The sequence below is a fragment of the Homo sapiens genome, chromosome 3 (genome assembly GCF_000001405.40).
Source record: "Homo sapiens chromosome 3, GRCh38.p14 Primary Assembly".
NCBI classification, from domain to species: domain Eukaryota; kingdom Metazoa; phylum Chordata; class Mammalia; order Primates; family Hominidae; genus Homo; species Homo sapiens.
In genome coordinates, this window is record NC_000003.12 from 54,700,811 (window position 1) to 54,720,350 (window position 19,540).

The following is a 19,540-nucleotide window of genomic DNA, read 5'->3' on the forward strand; positions in this document are numbered from 1 at the left end:
GGAGCTATCACTAGTCCCTTTGTATAGGGCTGGAAAACTACTTGCCCAAGTCTCAAAACTGTTCAGTGAAAAAACGAAGACCTAACACCAATTCATTAGACTCCAGAGCTATAGGCTTAGCCATTGAACCACCTCCCTCTGAGAGTCCCAGCATATTCTCAAAAAGTAAGAGCCATCAGTAATTATTCTAAAAGCACAGGCTGCAGAATTCTCTGTTCTAAATTTAAATGGAACTGGGCCATATTGGATGAAAGAAATCAGGTTCTTTTCATGAGTGCTTGTCAAGTGCCTCTGATTCCTAAAAGAAACCAATTTGGCCACTGATCTGAAGTTTCTTTCTAGGCTTTACAAGTCATCTCTAATCCTATAATTTGTCTTTATTTCTACCAACTAAGATGTGTGCACTCCACCAAAAAAGATCATCTAATGTTTGAAAGTGGATCAGAAGCAAATTATATGAGAAACTGGTTTGTGTCATTAAAGCTTTGAAAACTAGTGATCTTAATGAAAGTAAAATCAACCCTACCATGTACAGGAAGCCTAATAGTTGTTTGTAAGGAATTTCAAGGAGTCTACTGAGATTTCCCCCTCCATCCTCTCTATATCTAATATATCTAGCTCCTGTTCACAAGGATGTGCTTGAAAGATGTAAATATGTGTTATAAATGTTTTTTTCCCTACAAAAGGTCATTTAAAAGTTTTAGGTTGTAGGAATACAGCTACCGAGGGAGGTGAAATATCTCTACAACACGAATTACAAAACGCTGCTGAAAGAAATCAGAGACAACAACAAACAAATGGGAAAACACTTTATGCTCATGGATGGGAAGAATCAATGTTGTTAAAATGGCCATACTGCCCAAAGCAATTTATAGATTCAGTGCCATCCCTATCAAACTACTAATGTCATTTTTCACAGAACTAGAATAAACTATTCTAAAATTTTCATGGAACCAAAAATGAGTCTGAATAGCCAAAGCAATCTTAAGCCGAAAGAATAAAGCCCGAGACATCACACTACATCACACTGTAGTATAGACTTCAAACTAAACCTCAAGGCTGCAGTAACCAAAACAGCATGGTACTGGTACAAAAGCAGACACAGACCAATGGAACAGGTCAGAGAACCTAGAAATAAAGCCACACACCTACAACCATCTGATCTTCAACCAAGTCAACAATAACAAGCAATGGGGAAAGGACTCCCTATTCAAAAATAAATGGTGCTGGGATAATTGGCTATCTGCATGCAAAAGATTGAAACCAGGCCCTTTCTTTTCACCATACACAAAAATCAACTCAAGATGGATTAAAGACTTAAAAGTAAAACCTAAAATTGTGAAAACCCTAGAAGAAAACCTAAGAAATAACCATTCTGGACATAGGCCTTGGGAAAGAATTTGTGATGAAAACTCTCAAAAGCAATTGCAACAAAAACATTGACAAGTGGGACCTAACTAAACTGAAGAGCTTCTGCACAGCAAAAGAAGTTATCAACAAAGTAAACAGACAGAATGGGAGAAAATATTTGCAAACTGTGCATCTGACGAAGTCTAATGTCCAGGGAATCTATAAGGAACTTAAACTTAAGGAACTTAAACCACTCCATTAAAAAATGAACAGAGGACATGAACAGACACTTCTCAAAAAAAGACATGTGCATGGCCAACAAGCATATGAAAAAATGCTCAACATCACTAATGATTACAGAAATGTAAATCAAAACCACTATGAGATACCATCTCACCAGTCAGAATGGCTGTCATTAAAAAGTTTAAAAATAACAGATGTTAGGTTGCAGAGGAAAAGGGAGTGCTTATACACTGCTGGTCTGAAAGTAGTTTAGCCACTGTGGAAAGCAGTTGGAGATTTCTCAGAGAACTTAGAACAGAACTACTATTCAACCCAGCAATCAAAGTACTGAAAGTATACCCAAAAGAATATAAATCATTCTGCCAAAAAGACACATGCTTTCATGAGTGCTCCTTTTCACAAGAGCAAAGACATGGAATCAATGTAGATGCCTGTAAATGGTGGATTGGATAAAGAAAATGTGGTACATACACATCATGGAATACTACATAGCCATAAAAAGAATGAAATCACATCCTTTGCAGCAACATGGATGCAGCTGGAAGCCATTATCCTAAGCAAATTAATATAGGAACAGAAAACCAAATCCTACATGTTTTCATTTATAAGTGGGAGCTAAACATTGAGTACACATGGACACAAAGAGGGGAACGATAGACACCGGGGCTTATATGAGGGTGGAGGGTGGGAGGAGGGTGAGGATCACAAAACTATCCACCTGGTATTGTGCTCACTACTTGGGTAATGAAATAATTCGTACACCAAACGCCAGTGACATGCAATTTACTCATGTAACAAACTTGCACATGTACCCCCTGAACTTAAATTAAAAGTTGGAAGAAAAAAAAAGGATAAAAAAATAAATAAAAGTTTTAGGTTGGACAAGGTGCCACAGAGTTTATTTGTATTAACCTACATGTGATTCATTTTATCCATTTGGAGCTAGAATTTACTTATAAGAATTTTACAGGCCTAATCCTACTCAAACAAACTAAATGTAAAAGTAGTTTCTAGATTCTTGGGTGGTATTACATTTTTTTAAGGATAACTAGTGTCCCTACAATTGGAATGGTGGCCACCTTTTGTTATTCACATGTTTAGTTTTGGACAAAAGTATTCCTGAAAGCATCTTGCTCAGCGCTGGCCACATAGTGAAGGTTCAATAACCGTTGACTATCCTCCTACCAGGTTTTGATTGGAATGACCTAAAATCCCCCTACAATTATCCCATCTTTGTAAGGTCTCATTTTCTTTTCAATATTTAGGAAGAAGGTGCCACATGAAAAGCTATCAAGTTTAAACCTTGTTCATACCTTCACACTGATGTTGTATCATGAGTGTCACCCAAGCGCCAAGTTGCAAAATGTCGGCAAGCTCACAGTAGAGCACAAAGGAAAGTGATGGTTAGATAATGAAACAAGGGCTTTGGGATGTAAGCAGAGATACTAACAGAGAGCCGCATTTGTTTGTAGCACTTTTAACTACTCAAGGAATCTTGAGGTGACTTAATTTGTAGTTCAGACCCCTACCTCTACCCCTAGTTAATCACAGGGGTGATGAAAAATACTACATGCTGTCTTTCTTTTCCTAAGCTCTCTTTAATCTTGATCTTTGAAAAGCAAGTGGTTTTTCTTGTGCAAACAGCTTCATAGAAATGTCAAATCTGGCACCCACAGTCTATGCTGAAGGGGGAGACTTGGTACAAAAGGCTCAGTGCTCAGGGCCCAGGCTTTGAAATGACTCCAGCTGTATTGCCAATGCAAATGCAGGAGGGGAAAAATTACTGGAACAAATTGAAAGGTTATTCAGACTGGAATTTAGAATCTCAATAAAAAAGGCTTTTATAAGCCAAAGCCTTGGAGTAACCGGATCATTTAAAAATACATCTTTTCTGCATTAAATGTGGTGTGACAGCCACATTAGAAATGCTGCAGTTTAAGTATGTTCCTTAAACATTTTTAACTGACTTGTAAGGACAGCTAAAACCTTCTATTGGGGGGACACTGGATCCCCAGTTCATACATAGTTTCCATTTCTTTATTTTTCCCTCTTTTTTTTAATACCTGGCTAATAGGTTTTTGCCTTTTCCCTGTGTTGATTGCTGCAGGCTCAGGGATCTCTGTGAGCTGCATGTCTTGATAAAAATTTGTTGAGCTAGTCATTTTCTTTTTTGACTTGCCAGAGAACAGTCTTCCTGATCACTCAGACGTTGGTGATAGGAACAGCACAGCTGTACGGGGGTGGAATCCCTTTAACAAGAGGTGTTTAGGCCAAGAGACACAAATATTAATATACCCCATCTAACATGAGGCAGTGTCACAGATGTGGGACTCCTTCCTATTGTTTAAAATCTGTTATTTCATGATCTTTTGAAAGATATGATCCAAGTCCAGTTGTTCTTGGTGTGCATTGCAGTTTTCCACCCCTACCTCCCTCCTACCCAACACCATTACTTCCTTGACCCAAAAAGGAGATTCTCTACCCCCCACCCCCATTTCTACAGGGAAACAACCCTGTAGAGAGTGGAGAGTGCATTGAAGTCAAAGTAATGGACTTTCCTGGGGGGCTTTCTGCATTCTCTGAGCTCTGCTGGGTACAGAGCTACTGTGGACCATGGAGTGTAGCTGGCCCAGCCCCTGCACTGTCATCTGCACGGGTCTTCCTGCCTGATTATTTCCAAAAATGGCTCAGTCTCCAAAAGATTAAGTTCATTGTTTTTAATTTGTGAAATATTTCAAATGTACTGAATACCCACTATCTGGATTTAGCAAATATTCACATTTTGCCATATCAATTTCAATTCTTTGGCCTTATTTTAAATCCTCACTTCCTTTCTCCTTCTCTAGGGGTCACATTATTTCCTTTCCCAGCAAAGTTAGCTCTTGGTGCTGCCAAATTATATTGTTTGTGTCAGTGTCTTAGGAGTTATATCATTGAACTAGAATTATAAGGTAACTTATCTGTAGCCTATTCTAGATTCCTCACTTGTTGAGAAGAAAAACTTGGCCTTTGTAAAGACGTTGTCCCCAGCCCCTGGTAACATGCCAGTGCTGCAATTGGTTCTCACAGGTTTTTTCTTGTTGTTCTGATTTGCTCCTTTGTTTGTTTTGAGTGAAGGGATGACTTCACAGTAGAAAAATCCAAGGACTCAAGGGTTATAGATAACACATTGACAGACTTTCTTCTTATTGAGGTTCAATATTTTTAATGAGTATTTTAGCACAGGATTGTAGAGTTATTTAATTCAACAGTTTGGGCCTCCCAATGTTCCTATAACTAAAAGCTTTGAATTAACCCTGTTTGATATCTGATATAATTATAGCATAATAGGGCATCTTCCTGGTTAGAAGAGTATAAGTTGCTTCAAATAATGTGCTGATCCTAACTTAATGAGTTTTGATTTGCTATGCGGATATGTGTCTGAAGCCTATTGTCTTGTTCATACTAGAAAGCAGACTTGGTCTGAGACAAGCACTTCAGTGATACTGACTCTCATGCCTCATAAAGTGATGATGGAGATGCTATGCATGGCCCCTCTTCTCCTCGTATAGTTCTCATAAAACAATAGAATGATCTGTTCCGGCTTCTGTGCTCCTTTGAGGCAGTATCACTAGCCCATATGTTTTAAGAACCATCTTGTTCACACACCATAAGGCCAAATCAACTGGAGCCTCATTCCCACATTGAAGTCCAGTTCTTCCATGGATCCAGCATTCCTTTGACTAGAAGCATTTGCGTGAAGACCCAGCAGTGCACTATTTTGATGTATCCAAGTAAAGTCATCTTTTAACATAAGGAGATACCTTCTTGCACTTTCTTCAGCTGAGATGGAGTTTGGGGATGGCCATGCATCCTGTTCTCTTCTGGGGATCAACATTTCAATAGAAGGTTAGCCTAGGGGCTTTATCCCAACATTTTCTTCCCAAAGTCGTGGCAGTTCTTAACAGTGTTGTTCACATAACATTAACAATGCATGAAGCCACCATGCCAATGCTTGCCTAGGGTTATGCCTCAGTCACCCCTTTCCCTTTCATTCAGGAACATCCTTTAGAATGCAAGTGGATGGCTGACATATTAGTAGAATGATTAACATCTGTCTTTATTTATTAAAAATGGTATCTATCCTCAGGCTTTGGTGCTTGGACTTTCATGAGTGACATGTTGCCATTGAGACCAGCTGTCCTTGAATAACAACACCTCAGTAGACTGTACCTTTTACTGAAGTGCTATGAGTTTGCTTCTCTTCAAAAATGATCTTGTAACTGGTTGCCAAGGCCATTGTGAGAATCGATGCTCTCCAGCTTTAGGCCCTCACTCTCAGGGTGAGGAGCAGTGGGAGGCTGCGTGATAACATTTAAAGCTCACAGAGGGAAACATTTTTGCACTGACTGTGCCAGAATCCCATGCTTTGTGGCCAATATAATGGATTTCATTTGGGGCCCTGCATAGGCCAATTGTCATGATATGGTTGGGAAACTTTCCATCAGCTACTGTGAGATCCATCACTCTGTTCCCTACCTCTGTTTCTGGCTTCTCCATTCCTGGTCACATTTTATGAAGCAGCCAACCATCCAGATTGGGATTTCATGCTCTGCTGCACTTCTGCCCAAGTTATTTCTCTTACAAAGGCCTCCTTTACAAAATCCTTAATCTAAGTAATGCGTAGAAGGCGTATTAATGGGTAGCAAGTGAAAGAAGGCAAGAGCCAGCTACTTCCTGAAAATTATTGTCATTAGAGCATTTCCATGAAGGCCGAACAATTCATTAGGGTGAGTCCAGGCAAAAGCCCCATCCCCCAAAACATATGTAATGAATTCAGATCTAATTGGCCATGGTCCAGTCTAGTTCTAAGGGTCATTCTTGGCATTTTGGAGGTCAGAAGAAAGGTTTGATTTGAAGTTTGTTATGTTTCCCACATGTTATATTTAAGTTTGTTCATTATGTTCATTGGATGTTCCCATTGGCTTTTAGTTCTGGACAAAGGTTAGGTAAATTATTCAACCCTGGCTCATCCTGCCATCAATCCGATGCCTCAGTGCAAAAGACATTCACACCCATGTCCCAGTACACGAAAGGGATTCACAGGGCAACCTAGGATTTGAGTGGGAAGGAGGCCTTGAATGAGAGTGATGGTTTCAGATTGACATTGGTTTTGTTGGCTGGAAAGAGATCCTGATTCTTTTATCTGTGGAATTTTCTTTGTAGTCCCAGTATCAGAGTGTGGCTAATGTCTCCAAAGCTTTACCGAGAAGCTGTATGATGATAAAGCCTTTGAGTAAGGCTGTCCATAGGCTTTTGCTGACTGTTGAATTTCCATGGTCTGCTCATCCAAGAATTTCACTATGTGGGGTAGCTTGAAGGAGAGGGAGATTCTGGGGAAATGACGGCCTGAGTTTTTATTTGCTTGTTTCACTTCAGCAGAGGAGTGAGAAAAGTAAGTGGCACATTGAGTTTGTGTATAGAAGGAGCTGTTTATCTGATGGAAAGGCCCTTCCAAATCCTGTTTTCATTCTCTTTTGCTGTTGGAGTTAGACCCCATTTATAATAATTAAGACTTGGTTATGTGACTTTAAGTCCACCTGTATCCACAGAGAGGCTAGAGATGTGCATTGTTTAAAGCTTTCAAGTGCTGAACAATGAATGAAGGTTATGGTCTGGCAAGGTAATTGTTTATTTGAAGCCAAAGTCAGAGATGTGGGAGACATAATTTAAAGAACTCAGGGGCCTTATATTCCTGGCCTCGAGTCGATCAAAGAACATATAAAACCATCCAGTGAAACTTTTCTGGATTTCTAACTGAATAATCCATTCTAATTCACTGGTCTTTAATCTCTGAGAATGAGAAGTAGCTGAGTGGTATCACATGATATATACAAAGGTGTTATCGAATTTGATGGCAGGCGAAAACTGTTTTGCCTGCATGTTCTAATGAAACATGGAAGTTTCAAGTCAGTGAGATAAATTTTAAGGTTTAGATTACTAGCTGTGTGGCCCACTCTGTAGAGCTACCAAAGACAAAGTGACAGAAAAATAACCCTAATAAACACTTCTTCGAAAGGATGGAGTTGAACAGGATCCTTTTGGTTGGAGACCTTGTGATTACTGCCAAATTGGTTGTTTATAATAGGTAAATGTTGATTGAGCAGAGACAAAGCTGGAATCTTAGCATTGAATACCCCCAGCCTTGGCCCAAGTATGCAGGAGGTAGAGAGTTGGGCTATTTGGAAAAGAGACAGATAATTAAATCTTTTAGAGGAGAATGCTTTTGAATGCATATTTGTAAGTTAAGCCATAATTTAAATGCTCAAATCCTAGGCGGCTCCAGAATTTCCTCCAACACCTGAATTCATGGTGGAGGGGTGAGACCCTGACAAGCCTTGACAGTCTTTTAGGCATTCATTTATTTTTCGCCAGACCAGTTTGGTTTTGACTTAAATCTTGGGTCTTAAGTTTTTCTCTTTTTCTGTAACCCTATTGATTGAAAAGACAATTTTTTTTTCTTTTGGTTTTCCACTAATTCTGGTATGATAAGGTGAGGCCAATTTTAAATAACTATTTTTTACATCTGCTTATCAACCCTAAAACCTAATTCTATACCCATCTTCATCTTTTTTTTTTTTTTTCAAGATGGAGTCTTGCTCTGTCACCTAGGCTAGAGTGCAATGACTCAATGTCGGCTCACTGCAACCTCCACTTCCTGGGTTCAAGCAATTCTCCCGCCTCAGCCTCCCAACTGACTGGGACTACAGGTGCACACCACCATGCCTGACTAATTTTTTTTTTGTATTTTTAGTAGAGATGGAGTTTCACCATATTGGCCAGGCTGGTCTCGAACTGCTGACCTCAAGTGATCCGCCTGCCTTGGCGTCCCAAAGTGCTAGGATTACAGGTGTGAGCCACCGCACCCAGCCTTCATTTTTAAACTCCAGCTGCAGACTGCTTAAAGTCCTCTCTCTCTCTCTTTTTTTTTTTCTTAAAGAGAGGGTCTCCCTCTGTTGCCCAGGCTGGAGGGCAGTGGCATGATCTCGATTCACTAAAGCCTTAGCCTCCTGGGTTCAAGTGATCCTCCCACTCAGCCTCCCGAGTAGTTGGGACTGCAGGTGTACATCACCATGCTGGGCTAATTTTTAAATTTTTTTGTAGAGACAGGGTCTCACTATGTTACCTAGACTTGTCTCGAACTCCTGGACTCAAGTGATCCTTCTGCCTTGGAAGTCTTATCTTTTAAAATCCATCACTTGCCAGGCATGGTGGCTCACACCTGTCATCACAGAATTTTGGGAGGCCAAAGTGGGATGGTTGCTTGTGACCAGTAGTTCAAGACCAGCCTGGGTAGCATAGCGAGACCCTATCCATACAAAAAAATTTGAAAATTAGCTGGAAATGATGGCATGTGCCTGTGGGTCCAGCTACTCAGAAGGCTGAGGTGGGAGGATTACTTGATCCTAGGAGTTTGAGTCTGCAGTGAGCCATGGATTGCCACTGCACTCTAGCCTGCATGAAAGAGCAAGACCCTGTCTCTAAAATAAAAATAAAATCAGTCGCCTACCACCTGGTAGAGGTATTATTTTCCAAAACAACAACAACAAAAGTCTTTTGTTTTCACACACGCACACAGGGAGAGAGGTGGGAGTCAAAAATCAGAGAATCGACTCATTCATTTGCTAAATATTCATTTGTTCATGCATTGAGCAAGTATTTGTGGAGCACCTATTGTGTACCAGGCATTGAATTAGCACCTATGAATAGCACAGGTGAACAGTGGTTACTGAGAAGTCAGGAAATAAATAAGCAAACCCCAAATAAAATACTTAATGGCAAATTGTGGTAAGTATGATGAAGGGAAAATCAATGTCTTGAAGAAATATTTGTATTAACGAGGCTAGGCTGACCTGTGTTGCCATAACAATAATAATGAATATGAAATCTAAATGACTTAACAAAAATGAAGATTTATTTCTTCTCACATTCCAATATGATGCAGATTGAATAGTTCTATTGGGATTTGAGGATCCAGTGTCCTTCTGTCATTGGTGCCACCAACTTTAACGTGCGGTCTTGACAGTTGTGGCAAGCGGGAGAGAAAGATTGAGGCAAATTGCACAGGCAGGTTTTTAGCCAGCTGGGAAGTGGGTATATCATTTCTGTTCATATTCCATTGTCCAGAATTTAGCCACATGGACCCACCAACATGACTACCAGGAAAACTGGGAAACACAGTCCTCCTGAGTACATAAGAAGAGAAAATGGGATTGGTGAACAGCTTGATTTTAATGGAAGATTTCATTTAGACCAGAGGCTCCAAGAGCCTCTCCCTATAGAAATGATTTTTAACTGGTAATTAGAATATTAATTGTTAGCCACATTGAGTGTAGTGGGAATACATTACATTTTAAGTATGTTTAGAGACCTTACAACCATTACTATAGATTTGCTACCAGTTAGGAGGATATTACTTAGAATATTTAATTAAATCTCCTTACCTACAATTGAAAATGTTAAAAAGTCAGAGGCCCAGCTGAGGAGGCAATTTAATTACAATCTGGGTAAACTGAACAACCAGTGTCACTGTCATTCATCTGTGGCTATGTAGCATATTTTGATAGAAGGTAATTGAACTTTTGCCATCAAATAACAAACAGGGGAGAGGCTGTTTGATTGGTGAGCAAAGGCCAAACTTTGGACTCACAGAGGGCTGAACTCTTATCCTAATTGTGCCATAAAATAACGTGATTTTTCTCAAGCCAGCTTACCTCTCTGAGCCAGCTTTCTCTCGCATAAAAAAGGAGAGTAATAGCCACTGTTCACTGGGTACCATGTACGTAAGACTGTGCCTCAGCGCTCCACATTGCCTTACTAAATGACATAAAGTGAACAGCACACACACAAAAGACCTATTGCACCAGTTAGGATAAGCCAACTTCAAACATCTGTCACCCGGAGACAGAGCAGTTCTGGAGCTGGCTAATTCAGCAGCTCAAAGTAATTTTTATAGCGATACTCTCTGCCATTCTTAACATGTAAACAATGACACTATCATAGTCTCAGGTGATGGCAGCAGTTTGAGGAGACACCAGTGGATTTTCTGTATCTCTTTTTATCTTATAAAAGAGGGAGTTCTTCCCTACCCCCACACAGGCACCTCTGTAGATCCCATTGGCCAGAAATGGGTCACATGTTTATGCCAGAACCAATCATTGGCAAAACAGATGGGATTACCATGATTAACATAGACCAATCGTGATTCCACACTGGGACTTGGGAGGAAGCCACATCTCTGAACATAGAAGAGTGGATATCTGGACAAAGTTGGGACTCTGGGAAAAAGGAGAAATAGGGATGATGTTAGGTAGACAGTTGGCAGTACCTGCCCTTCCTCATCTGCTGCTACCAGACCACGTAAGCTCTCTGACATGCTTGCCACTTGGAGTAGCTCCCTCATAGCTTTCTGCAGATAAATATAAAATGCCTAAAGCTAGATAAAGGTTGTCTTCCTCCCCTCCCTCCCTTCCCTTTAAATGCTATATGGTGAATATTAAACTTATCAAATACAGCCTGTGTTTTAATGCAAGAAATAATAGAGACAATTTTGAGTAGGAGGAGGAGCTGCCATGGGGAGAAGGCCTACTATTATAAGAGGGCTCTAGACAGCCTGGTTAAAATTCTAACTCTACAACTTACTTGTTAGGTGACCTCAGGCAAGAGTATAAAGCTCTCAATGCCAGTTTCTTCATCTGTAAAAATGGAGATTATCATCTTGATAAAGCCTACCTGTATTCATTTCCTGTTTATGTTGTAACAAATTACTACAAATGTAGTGGCTTAAACAACTCCATTTACTATCTGACAGTTCTTGGAGTCAGAGATCAGATGAAGGTCTCACTGGGTTAAAGTCAAGGTGTCAGCTGAACTGTATTCCTTTCTGGAGACGCAAGGAGAGTAATATGGTTTGGCTGTGTCCCCACCCATCTTGAATTGTAACTCCCACAATTCCTATGCGTTGTGGGAGGGACCTGGTGGGAAGTAGTTGAATCATGGGGTCAGGCCTTTCCTGTGCAATTCTCATGATAGTGAATAAGTCTCTCGAGATCTGATGGTTTTATAAGGGGGATTTTCCCTGCACAAGCTCCATTCTCTTGTCTGCCACCACGTGAGATGTGCCTTTCACCTTCCACCATGATTGTGAGGCCTCTCCAGCCACGTGGAACTGAGAGTCTATTAAACCTCTTTATTTTGTAAATTGCCCAGTCTTGGGTATGTCTTTATCAGAAGCATGTAAACGGACTAATACAAAGAGAATGTGTTTTCTTGCCTTTTCCATTTTCCAGAGGCTGTCTGAATTTCTTGGCCCATTGCCCCTTCCATCTGCAAAGCCCAGCCACAGCCGGCTTAGTCTATCTTGCACGGCAGCACTAACTCTGAAACTCTCTTCCACTTTAAACAACCCTGTGGTTGCATTGGTCCCATGGGATAACTGGCCCTATTTTAACATCATCTGATTAGCAATCTTAATTCCATCTGCAACCTTAATTCCCCTTTGTCATATAACATCACATAATCACAAACTCCTAGACATCATGGGGACAGGGGTAGGGGAACATAGTATTCTGCCCACCATACTACTCATAGGAATGTTGTGATGATTAGGTGAGAAGACTCCTGTAATGGCTTAGAACAGTGCCAGTCACATAAGCAAATGTTCAGTAATTGTTCTTTGTGACCCCATTATGTCTTATCATTTAATGAGTTTGTTTTATACAGGAACAGGCTATTGGGAGTTCTGTCTTGAGGAAGCATCTGATGCTACTTTGCTCACTGCTAGAAGTGATGATAGAAGGACAGAGATCTTAGTGAGAGCCAACTCCTTCTTGCTTTCTAAAGCCAAAGCTCAAGGTCTGAGCTCTCTTTGGAATTAGGTGATTCTCCACAGAAAACGTGTGGTTTGGGCAAAGCCAATTTTATGAGTAACAAGAATGAAATAAACTGGGGAAGATCCAAGCAGATAACATTATCCTCACATAAAAGTGGCCAATAGAAAGAAGTTAAGAGCCACCCTTCCCTGGATCACGTTGTATAGCCTGTGTAAGAGAAGGAGTGCTGTATGTAGTTAAGATAATGGACCCTGGAGTTGAAATTCCTCTTTTCTTCTCATTATCTGGATGACCTCAAGCCTTAGCTTCCCCATTTGTAAGATGTGGATAAAAATAGTTTCTACCGCAGGATGAGATGAGGTCTGGAAAGTTCACACAACGTAAGTGCTTGGCACAAGGAGGGCCTGGCAGAAACTGCTAGGTCAGAGATAACTCTGGGAGGGTTCATACACAGTAAGGGTCTCATTGCAAATAATTAAAGTTGAGAGAGCCACTCTCCTGCCTGGCTGGGGCTAAGGAGTCTGTAGCCTTAGAGTATTATGTTCAAAATTCTACTCTCATGCAGTTAAATCTTAGCCTGAATGTTTATTCCATTAAACTTTCCCTCCAGATTGCATCATATGTAATTACAAGATGAAAATATTGTGTGGAGAATGTAGCCATTGTTCAAGTTTCACATATGTGATGATGGTTTTTGAATCTTCTTGGTGGGGAGGAGGTTAGATTTGTTGGTTGAGGTGGATTGTGACAAGTGAGCAGAGGGACAGACAGCAGAAAGCTGGGATTTCTTGGTTGGAAAGAAATATGTTGCAGGTCCTGGACTCCACAGGAGTTATATCTTGTCTTGGGTTGTTTTCATCCCACAGCAGGAATAACTAAAGATAAAGACAAAGATGATGAAAGACAAGATGATATTTTGATGTCACTGGGCCTGGAAACAAGGGCGCTATTGTTTGCAGGCAGCCTGTATTCATCTGTGAGAGATTAGCAATGGCATTAATTTATTCAAGATTACAGTTCAGAAGCAAAGTCATCAAAACTGAAGCTCTTTCATTTATGGAGCACGTTGTACCTCTGGGATGGAGGGCGAGTGCTCTGGGGCCGGGGTATCCTTCAGCGTGAGTTGTCTTAACAGGATGTTTTACTCAGAGAACAAGCCTTAGGATTCAGCTTTTTCAGTCCTGTAGCCACTCTCAGGATTCCTTCATGGACTTGATATACCCCAAGACTCTTCAGATTCCCAATGGTGAGAGCAATGGCCGTGCTTGGAAAGTGGAAATTGGTAAGGTCAGTGGGTTTCACTTAGAGCTACTGTGATTCAGCCCAACTCTTCCAACTTGTTTCGTATGTTTACACTCTTGACAAAAATTTTACAATCATAGACTATTTCCTCACTAGACCACCTCTTTGCCTCTGGATCATGTACACTCATGGTCACGAGGATGATGGTAGCACTGTGTTGAAGGAAATGAAATCGATAGCAAAGAGATAACTGCATTCCCATGCTTATCGATGCCTAATTCACAATAGCAAAGTATAGAAACCATCTGAGTGTCCATCAACATGTGGATGAGTGGATACAGAAATTGAGTTTTAGTGATATAGGAAAATCCAAACTCAGTTTCTCTTATAATACTTTTACAACACAGTACACTTCTGTGATCCTGGATGTCTGAGTTTTTTCTCCACACACCAAGCAATCAACTGTCCAGCAGATTCTCCAGTAGATACGATACCAGCTGGGTTTCCTCTAAATCAATTCAGTTCTGACACTATCTACCTGGAGACAGGTTGAGGACTGTCCCTCAAGACTGCCCCTACTTCAGAGGACAGTTGCAAGTAGTAGATTGTCACCTATACTTCTGATCGACCAGCTGTGAATTGGGGGGTTCCCACAACCTCATCCTTGAGATCTATTAACTTTCTAGAGTGGGTCACAGAACTCAGGGAAACACTTTACTTATAATAAATGTACACGTTTATTATAAAGGATATTACAAAGGATACAGTTCAACAGCCAGATGGTAGAGATGCACAGGGCAAGGTATGGGAGAAGGGGCACCACGGAGCTCCCATGCCCTCTCTGGATGCACCACACTCTAAGAACCTCCCATGTTCAGCTGTCTGAAACCTCTCAGAACTCAGTATTTTTGAGACTGAGTTTTTTATGAAGGATTCATTATGTCCACTTGTTTATTAACTCAACATTCAGCTCCCTTCCCCTCCCCAGAATATGGGGGGGGCAGGGGGAGGTAGAGAGGAGGCCTGAAATTTCCAGTCCTCTAATCAGATGGTTGGTTCCCTTGGCAACCAGCCTCCATCCTGAGGCTATCTAGGGGCCCTCAGCCACAAGTCATCTCGTTAGCATACAAAAGACACTCCTATCACTGGAGATCCAAGTATTTTATGAGCTCTGTGTCAGGAAACAGGGAGGAAGACCAAATATATATTTCACAATATCACAGTAGCAGATATGTAATGGAATATTATTCAGCCATAAAAAAGAGGGAAACTCTGCCATTTGTGACAACATGGATAAACTTGGAGGACATTATGCTAAGCCAAACACAGAAAGACAAATATGTTTCATCTCACATATGAACAAGTGGTTGCCAGGGGCTGGGAAGTAGGGGAATTGAAGTCATGTTGATCAGGGTACAAACTTGCAGTTAGAAGATTAATAAGTTCTGGGTATCTAATATACAGCAGGGATGGCGATAGATGTGTTAATTAATTTGATTGTAATAATCATTACAACATGTATATGTATATCAAATCATCACATTGCGTATCTTGAATATATTCAATCTTTGTCAATTATATATTTTAAAATAAAAACACAAACTTTATTTTGAAATAATTTTAGACTAACAAGAAATGCAAAAATAATACTATGTTCCCATGTACGCTTCCCCAGTTTGTCCCCTACTGATACAGTCTTCTATAAGTGCAAACCAAAAAGCATGTAAACAGATCTCAAACAGTTGGGAGGTTTATTTTGCTAAGGTTGAGGATACACCCAGGAAAAAGAGACACAGGCCACAGTAGTATGTGTGGCCGATACCTTTTCTGAAGAGGGTTTTGAGGGCTTCGATATGTAAAGGGGAAAAGTGGGCAAGTGGGGAAAGATGAAAAAAAGAGGGAAGATGTGTTCACAATCTTGTGAATCCATATGTTGCGTGTGAAAAGGAGGGGGTAGACGTTACTGTCAATTACGTATTCATCTTACACTCAGTAAATCTGCACTTTACATAAGGGAAAATAAACAGAGTACAGGAAGCTGTCAAATATACATTCATCTCTGGGTGGGTGGGGGAGGATTTCTGGTCTCCTCCTGTCCTGTGTCTATGAGCTGTTAATTTACATTGTTAGGGTGGCCCCTGTCGAGACATGAGAAGTTCTATCTGTAGCTATCAGTTTAGGAACAAAAGTAAAGGAGTTTTTGGGTTTTATTTTTGGTTTTGTTTTTCCATGTCTCAGCTTCCAAGCTAAACTTTTCCCTTTGGGCATAGTGAATTTGGGGTCCCAAGAGTTTATTTGCCTTTCACATAGCATAATAAATTATTTTTTAAAAGACTTTATGTGGAGCATTTCAAAAATGCATGTGATAAGGGACGCAAAACTTGTGTGGCACTTTTTTTTTTTTTTTAACAAGTTCCCTCTACCATGTTAAATCATAGCGTCAAGACAGAACCTGCCAGGACCTTCAAGCCTCCTTCATCATGCCTCCTTCTAGTCATTCTGTCCCCTACAGTAACTACTTTTCTGACTTCTATCTCCATGGGTTAGTTTTACCTGTTATTGCACCAGAACCTTATGTAACATACTCTCTGGTGTCTGGTTTCTTTCACTCAGTGACATGTCTTTGAGATGCTGTGTGTGCCAAGGGTTTGTTTTTATCATTGCTGTGTAGTACTCTGGTATGGACATATCATTATTTATCTCATCTAGCATAGATGGATATGTAGACTCTTTCCAGTTTTAGCTATTTCAAATTATGCTGCTGTGAAAATTCTTCCACATCTTCTGTTGCACACTTGTGTATACATTTCTATTAGGGAATATCCAGGAGTCGAATTACCACCTCAAAAGGTATACATGTGTTCTGCATTAAGAAAATTCTGCCAAACACCTTTCCAAAGTAGTGGTAACAAAGAGCATTTTAGTTTATCTTTGCCAACGTTTGCAATCCCAAATGTTCTTAATTTTCACCATTCTGGTGTGTGTGTCTGTGTATGCGTGTGTGTGTGTGGTGTGTGTGTGGTGTGCATGTGTGGTGTGTGTGTGTGTGTGTGGTGTGTATGTGTGCGTGTGTGTGCATACATTCGTGTGTGTGGTGTGTGTAGTGTGCATGTGTGTGTGGTGTGTGCGTGTCTGGTGCGTGTGTATGCATGTGTGGTGTGTGTGGTGTGTGCGTGCGTGTGTGTGGTGTGTGCATGTGTGCGTGTGCGGTGTGTGTGTGCATGTGTGGTGTGGTGTGTGCAAGCGTGTGTGTGGTGTGTGTGCATGTGCGTGTGTGGTGTGCGTGTGTGCGCATGTTTGCGTGTGTGTGGTGTGTGTGCGTGAGTGTGTGTGTGGTGTATGTGCGTGCGTGTGTGTGGTGGGTGTGTGTGCGTGTGTGTGTTCTGCATCTGGGTGTTTTAGTATCTAAGTATCTTAATTCCCATCCCTGTGATCACTAATGTTGATCAGTTTTCATATGTATATTAGAAATGTATATGAAATACAGATATTTATTTGTATATTGGCTATGCCTATGTATTTTTTGTGAAGTGTTCAAGATTTTTGACAATTTAAGAAATCTCATGATATACTTTTTTTACTTAATGATTTATAGTCATTCTTTATGTATTCCAGATACCACTCCTTTACTGGATATTTAGACTGAGAATATCTTCTCCCACCCTGTAGTTTGCTCTTCTTTTAATGCTATCTTTTGATGAACAGAAGTTTTTAAAAATTTTGGTAAAGTTCAGTGTATTGATCTTTTCCTTTATGGACAGTGCTCTTTTATATACAATTTAAGACATATTTCCCTGCCCCAATGGTGGATGATAGTCCACAATATTATATTTTGGAAGCTTAATTATTAAGCTTCACTATTAAACTTTATTATTAAAATCCATCTGGAATTAATTATGGCTTATTTTTCTCCATATAGTTGATGCAGCACGATTTATGGAAGACAGTTTTTCCCATTGGATTATAGTAGTACTTTTTAAAAATTAGGTTTTTTTTTTCTTAGATCCTCTGATGTTATGCTATTGGTCTGTTTATGTTTGTACTCTGTTTTAATTACTTGAGTTTTATGTAAGTCCTAATATCTGGTAGTATAAGTCTTCCAATATCATTTTGATTCTTCAAAATTGTCTTTGCTCTTCTTGGTTCTTTATATTTCCATGCAAATTTTAGAGTCAATTTATTGATTTCTACAAAATAATCTGCTGAGACTTTGATTGCGATTGAGTTGAATGTAAAAATCAACTGAAGAAGGATTGACGTATCTTTATAAGATTGAGTCTTCCAATCCATTAACAGTCCATCCCTTCACTTATTTTCTTTCTGTAATATTTTGCAGTTTCTGTGTTGGAAGTCTTACACATTTTTCCTAAGGTTTATTACCAGGTATTTAAAAGGCTTTGCTGCAATTATATAATATAGAGTTTTTTAATTTTTTATTTTCTAATATTTGAAAGCCATCAACTTTATAATGATCTTGTGTACAATGATTTTGCCAAGTTCACTTACTGAAAAGGGTTAATGATGACTATATCTTTTTTATTTTCTGTGTATATAATCATATTGTGTTTGAATAGTGTCTGCTATATTTCTACTTTCCCAATCTATATACCTTTTATTTCTTTTTCTTACCAAGTTGCACTGGATTTCTTTTTTTTTTTTTTTTTATCTTGTTACACCACCAGTACAATGTTGAAAGAATAAGGATTAGCACATATTCTTACCTCTTTCATGATCTCAGGATGAATGCTTTTACTAGTTTTACCATTAAGTCTTATGCTGCTTTTGATTTTCATACATATTCTTTTTAAGGTTAAAGAAGTGCTCTTCTGTTCCTAGTGTGGTAAAAATGGATGTGAATGGATGTTGAATTTTGTCGAGTGCTTGTGCACCTATTAAAATTATATAATTTTTTCTTCTTTTTTAATGTCATGGATTACATTGTTTGATTTTCAAATGATAAAATAACTTTACATTCGTGGTATAAATTCAACTTTGTCATAATATATTAAACTTTTATATTTCACTGCGTTTGACTTTGTGCAATTTTAAGATCTTTGTGTCTGTGTCAAGACAGATACTGGTCTGAAAATTTCCTTTTTGTAATGCTGTTTTCAGCTTTTTTTATTAGGGTATGCTGGCCTCAAAATGAGTTGGGCAGAGTTTCTTCTTTTTATACTCTCTGGAAGGATTTGTGTAAGATTGTTACTTCTTCCTTAATTGTATGGAAGAATTCAATGGTGAAGCCACAAGGGACTGTAGTTTACTTTGAGGGAAGATTTTTCGTTATAGATTCAATCACTTTAATAGATGGAAGACTATTCTGACTTTAACATTTCATCTTGATTCAGTTTTAGTAAGTTGTGCTTTTTGAGGAATGTGTCCATTTCCTATAATTTTTCATATTTATTGGCCTAAAGTTGTTTATAAAGTCCCCTTATTTCCTTTTTCACATGTAAAAGATCTGTAGGGCCCTTCTTTTTTCCATTTCCAATATGATTAATTTATGTTTTCACTCATTTTTTCTAAATCCATCTTGCTTAAGGATTTATCAATTTTATGGATTTTCAAGAAGTAACTTTTTGGCATTGTACATCTGTTTGCTGTGTCATCGATTTCTATTCTTATTTTTTATTTCCTTTACTCCACTTTCTTGGGGTTAAATTTGACCTTTTTTTAGCTTGTTAAAATGGAACCTTAGATTATTGGTTTCCAGCCTTACTTTTTTATTATATGTATTTACAGATACCAACTTCCCTGTAGTTGTTTTAGTAATAGTGCACTTTTAGATATCATATTTTCATTATCATTGAACTCAAACTATTTTCTAATTTTTA

The 19,540-nt window shown here is 39.3% G+C and overlaps 1 protein-coding gene across 1 annotated transcript in view, besides 1 other annotated feature; it reads left to right on the forward strand.

Annotated features, from left to right (window-relative positions):
- CACNA2D3 (calcium voltage-gated channel auxiliary subunit alpha2delta 3) overlaps positions 1-19,540 on the forward strand; it is a 952,006-nt gene that overhangs the window by 578,259 nt on the left and 354,207 nt on the right. The gene's annotated exons all lie outside the window — the stretch shown is intronic.
- Positions 8,810-9,529: an enhancer, noted in NCBI's record as "NANOG-H3K27ac hESC enhancer chr3:54743647-54744366 (GRCh37/hg19 assembly coordinates)". NCBI's record gives its function as "activates a minimal SCP1, AML or CMV promoter by ChIP-STARR-seq in primed H9 embryonic stem cells {active_cell/tissue: H9 hESC(primed)}" and the evidence as "EXISTENCE:reporter gene assay evidence [ECO:0000049][PMID:30033119]".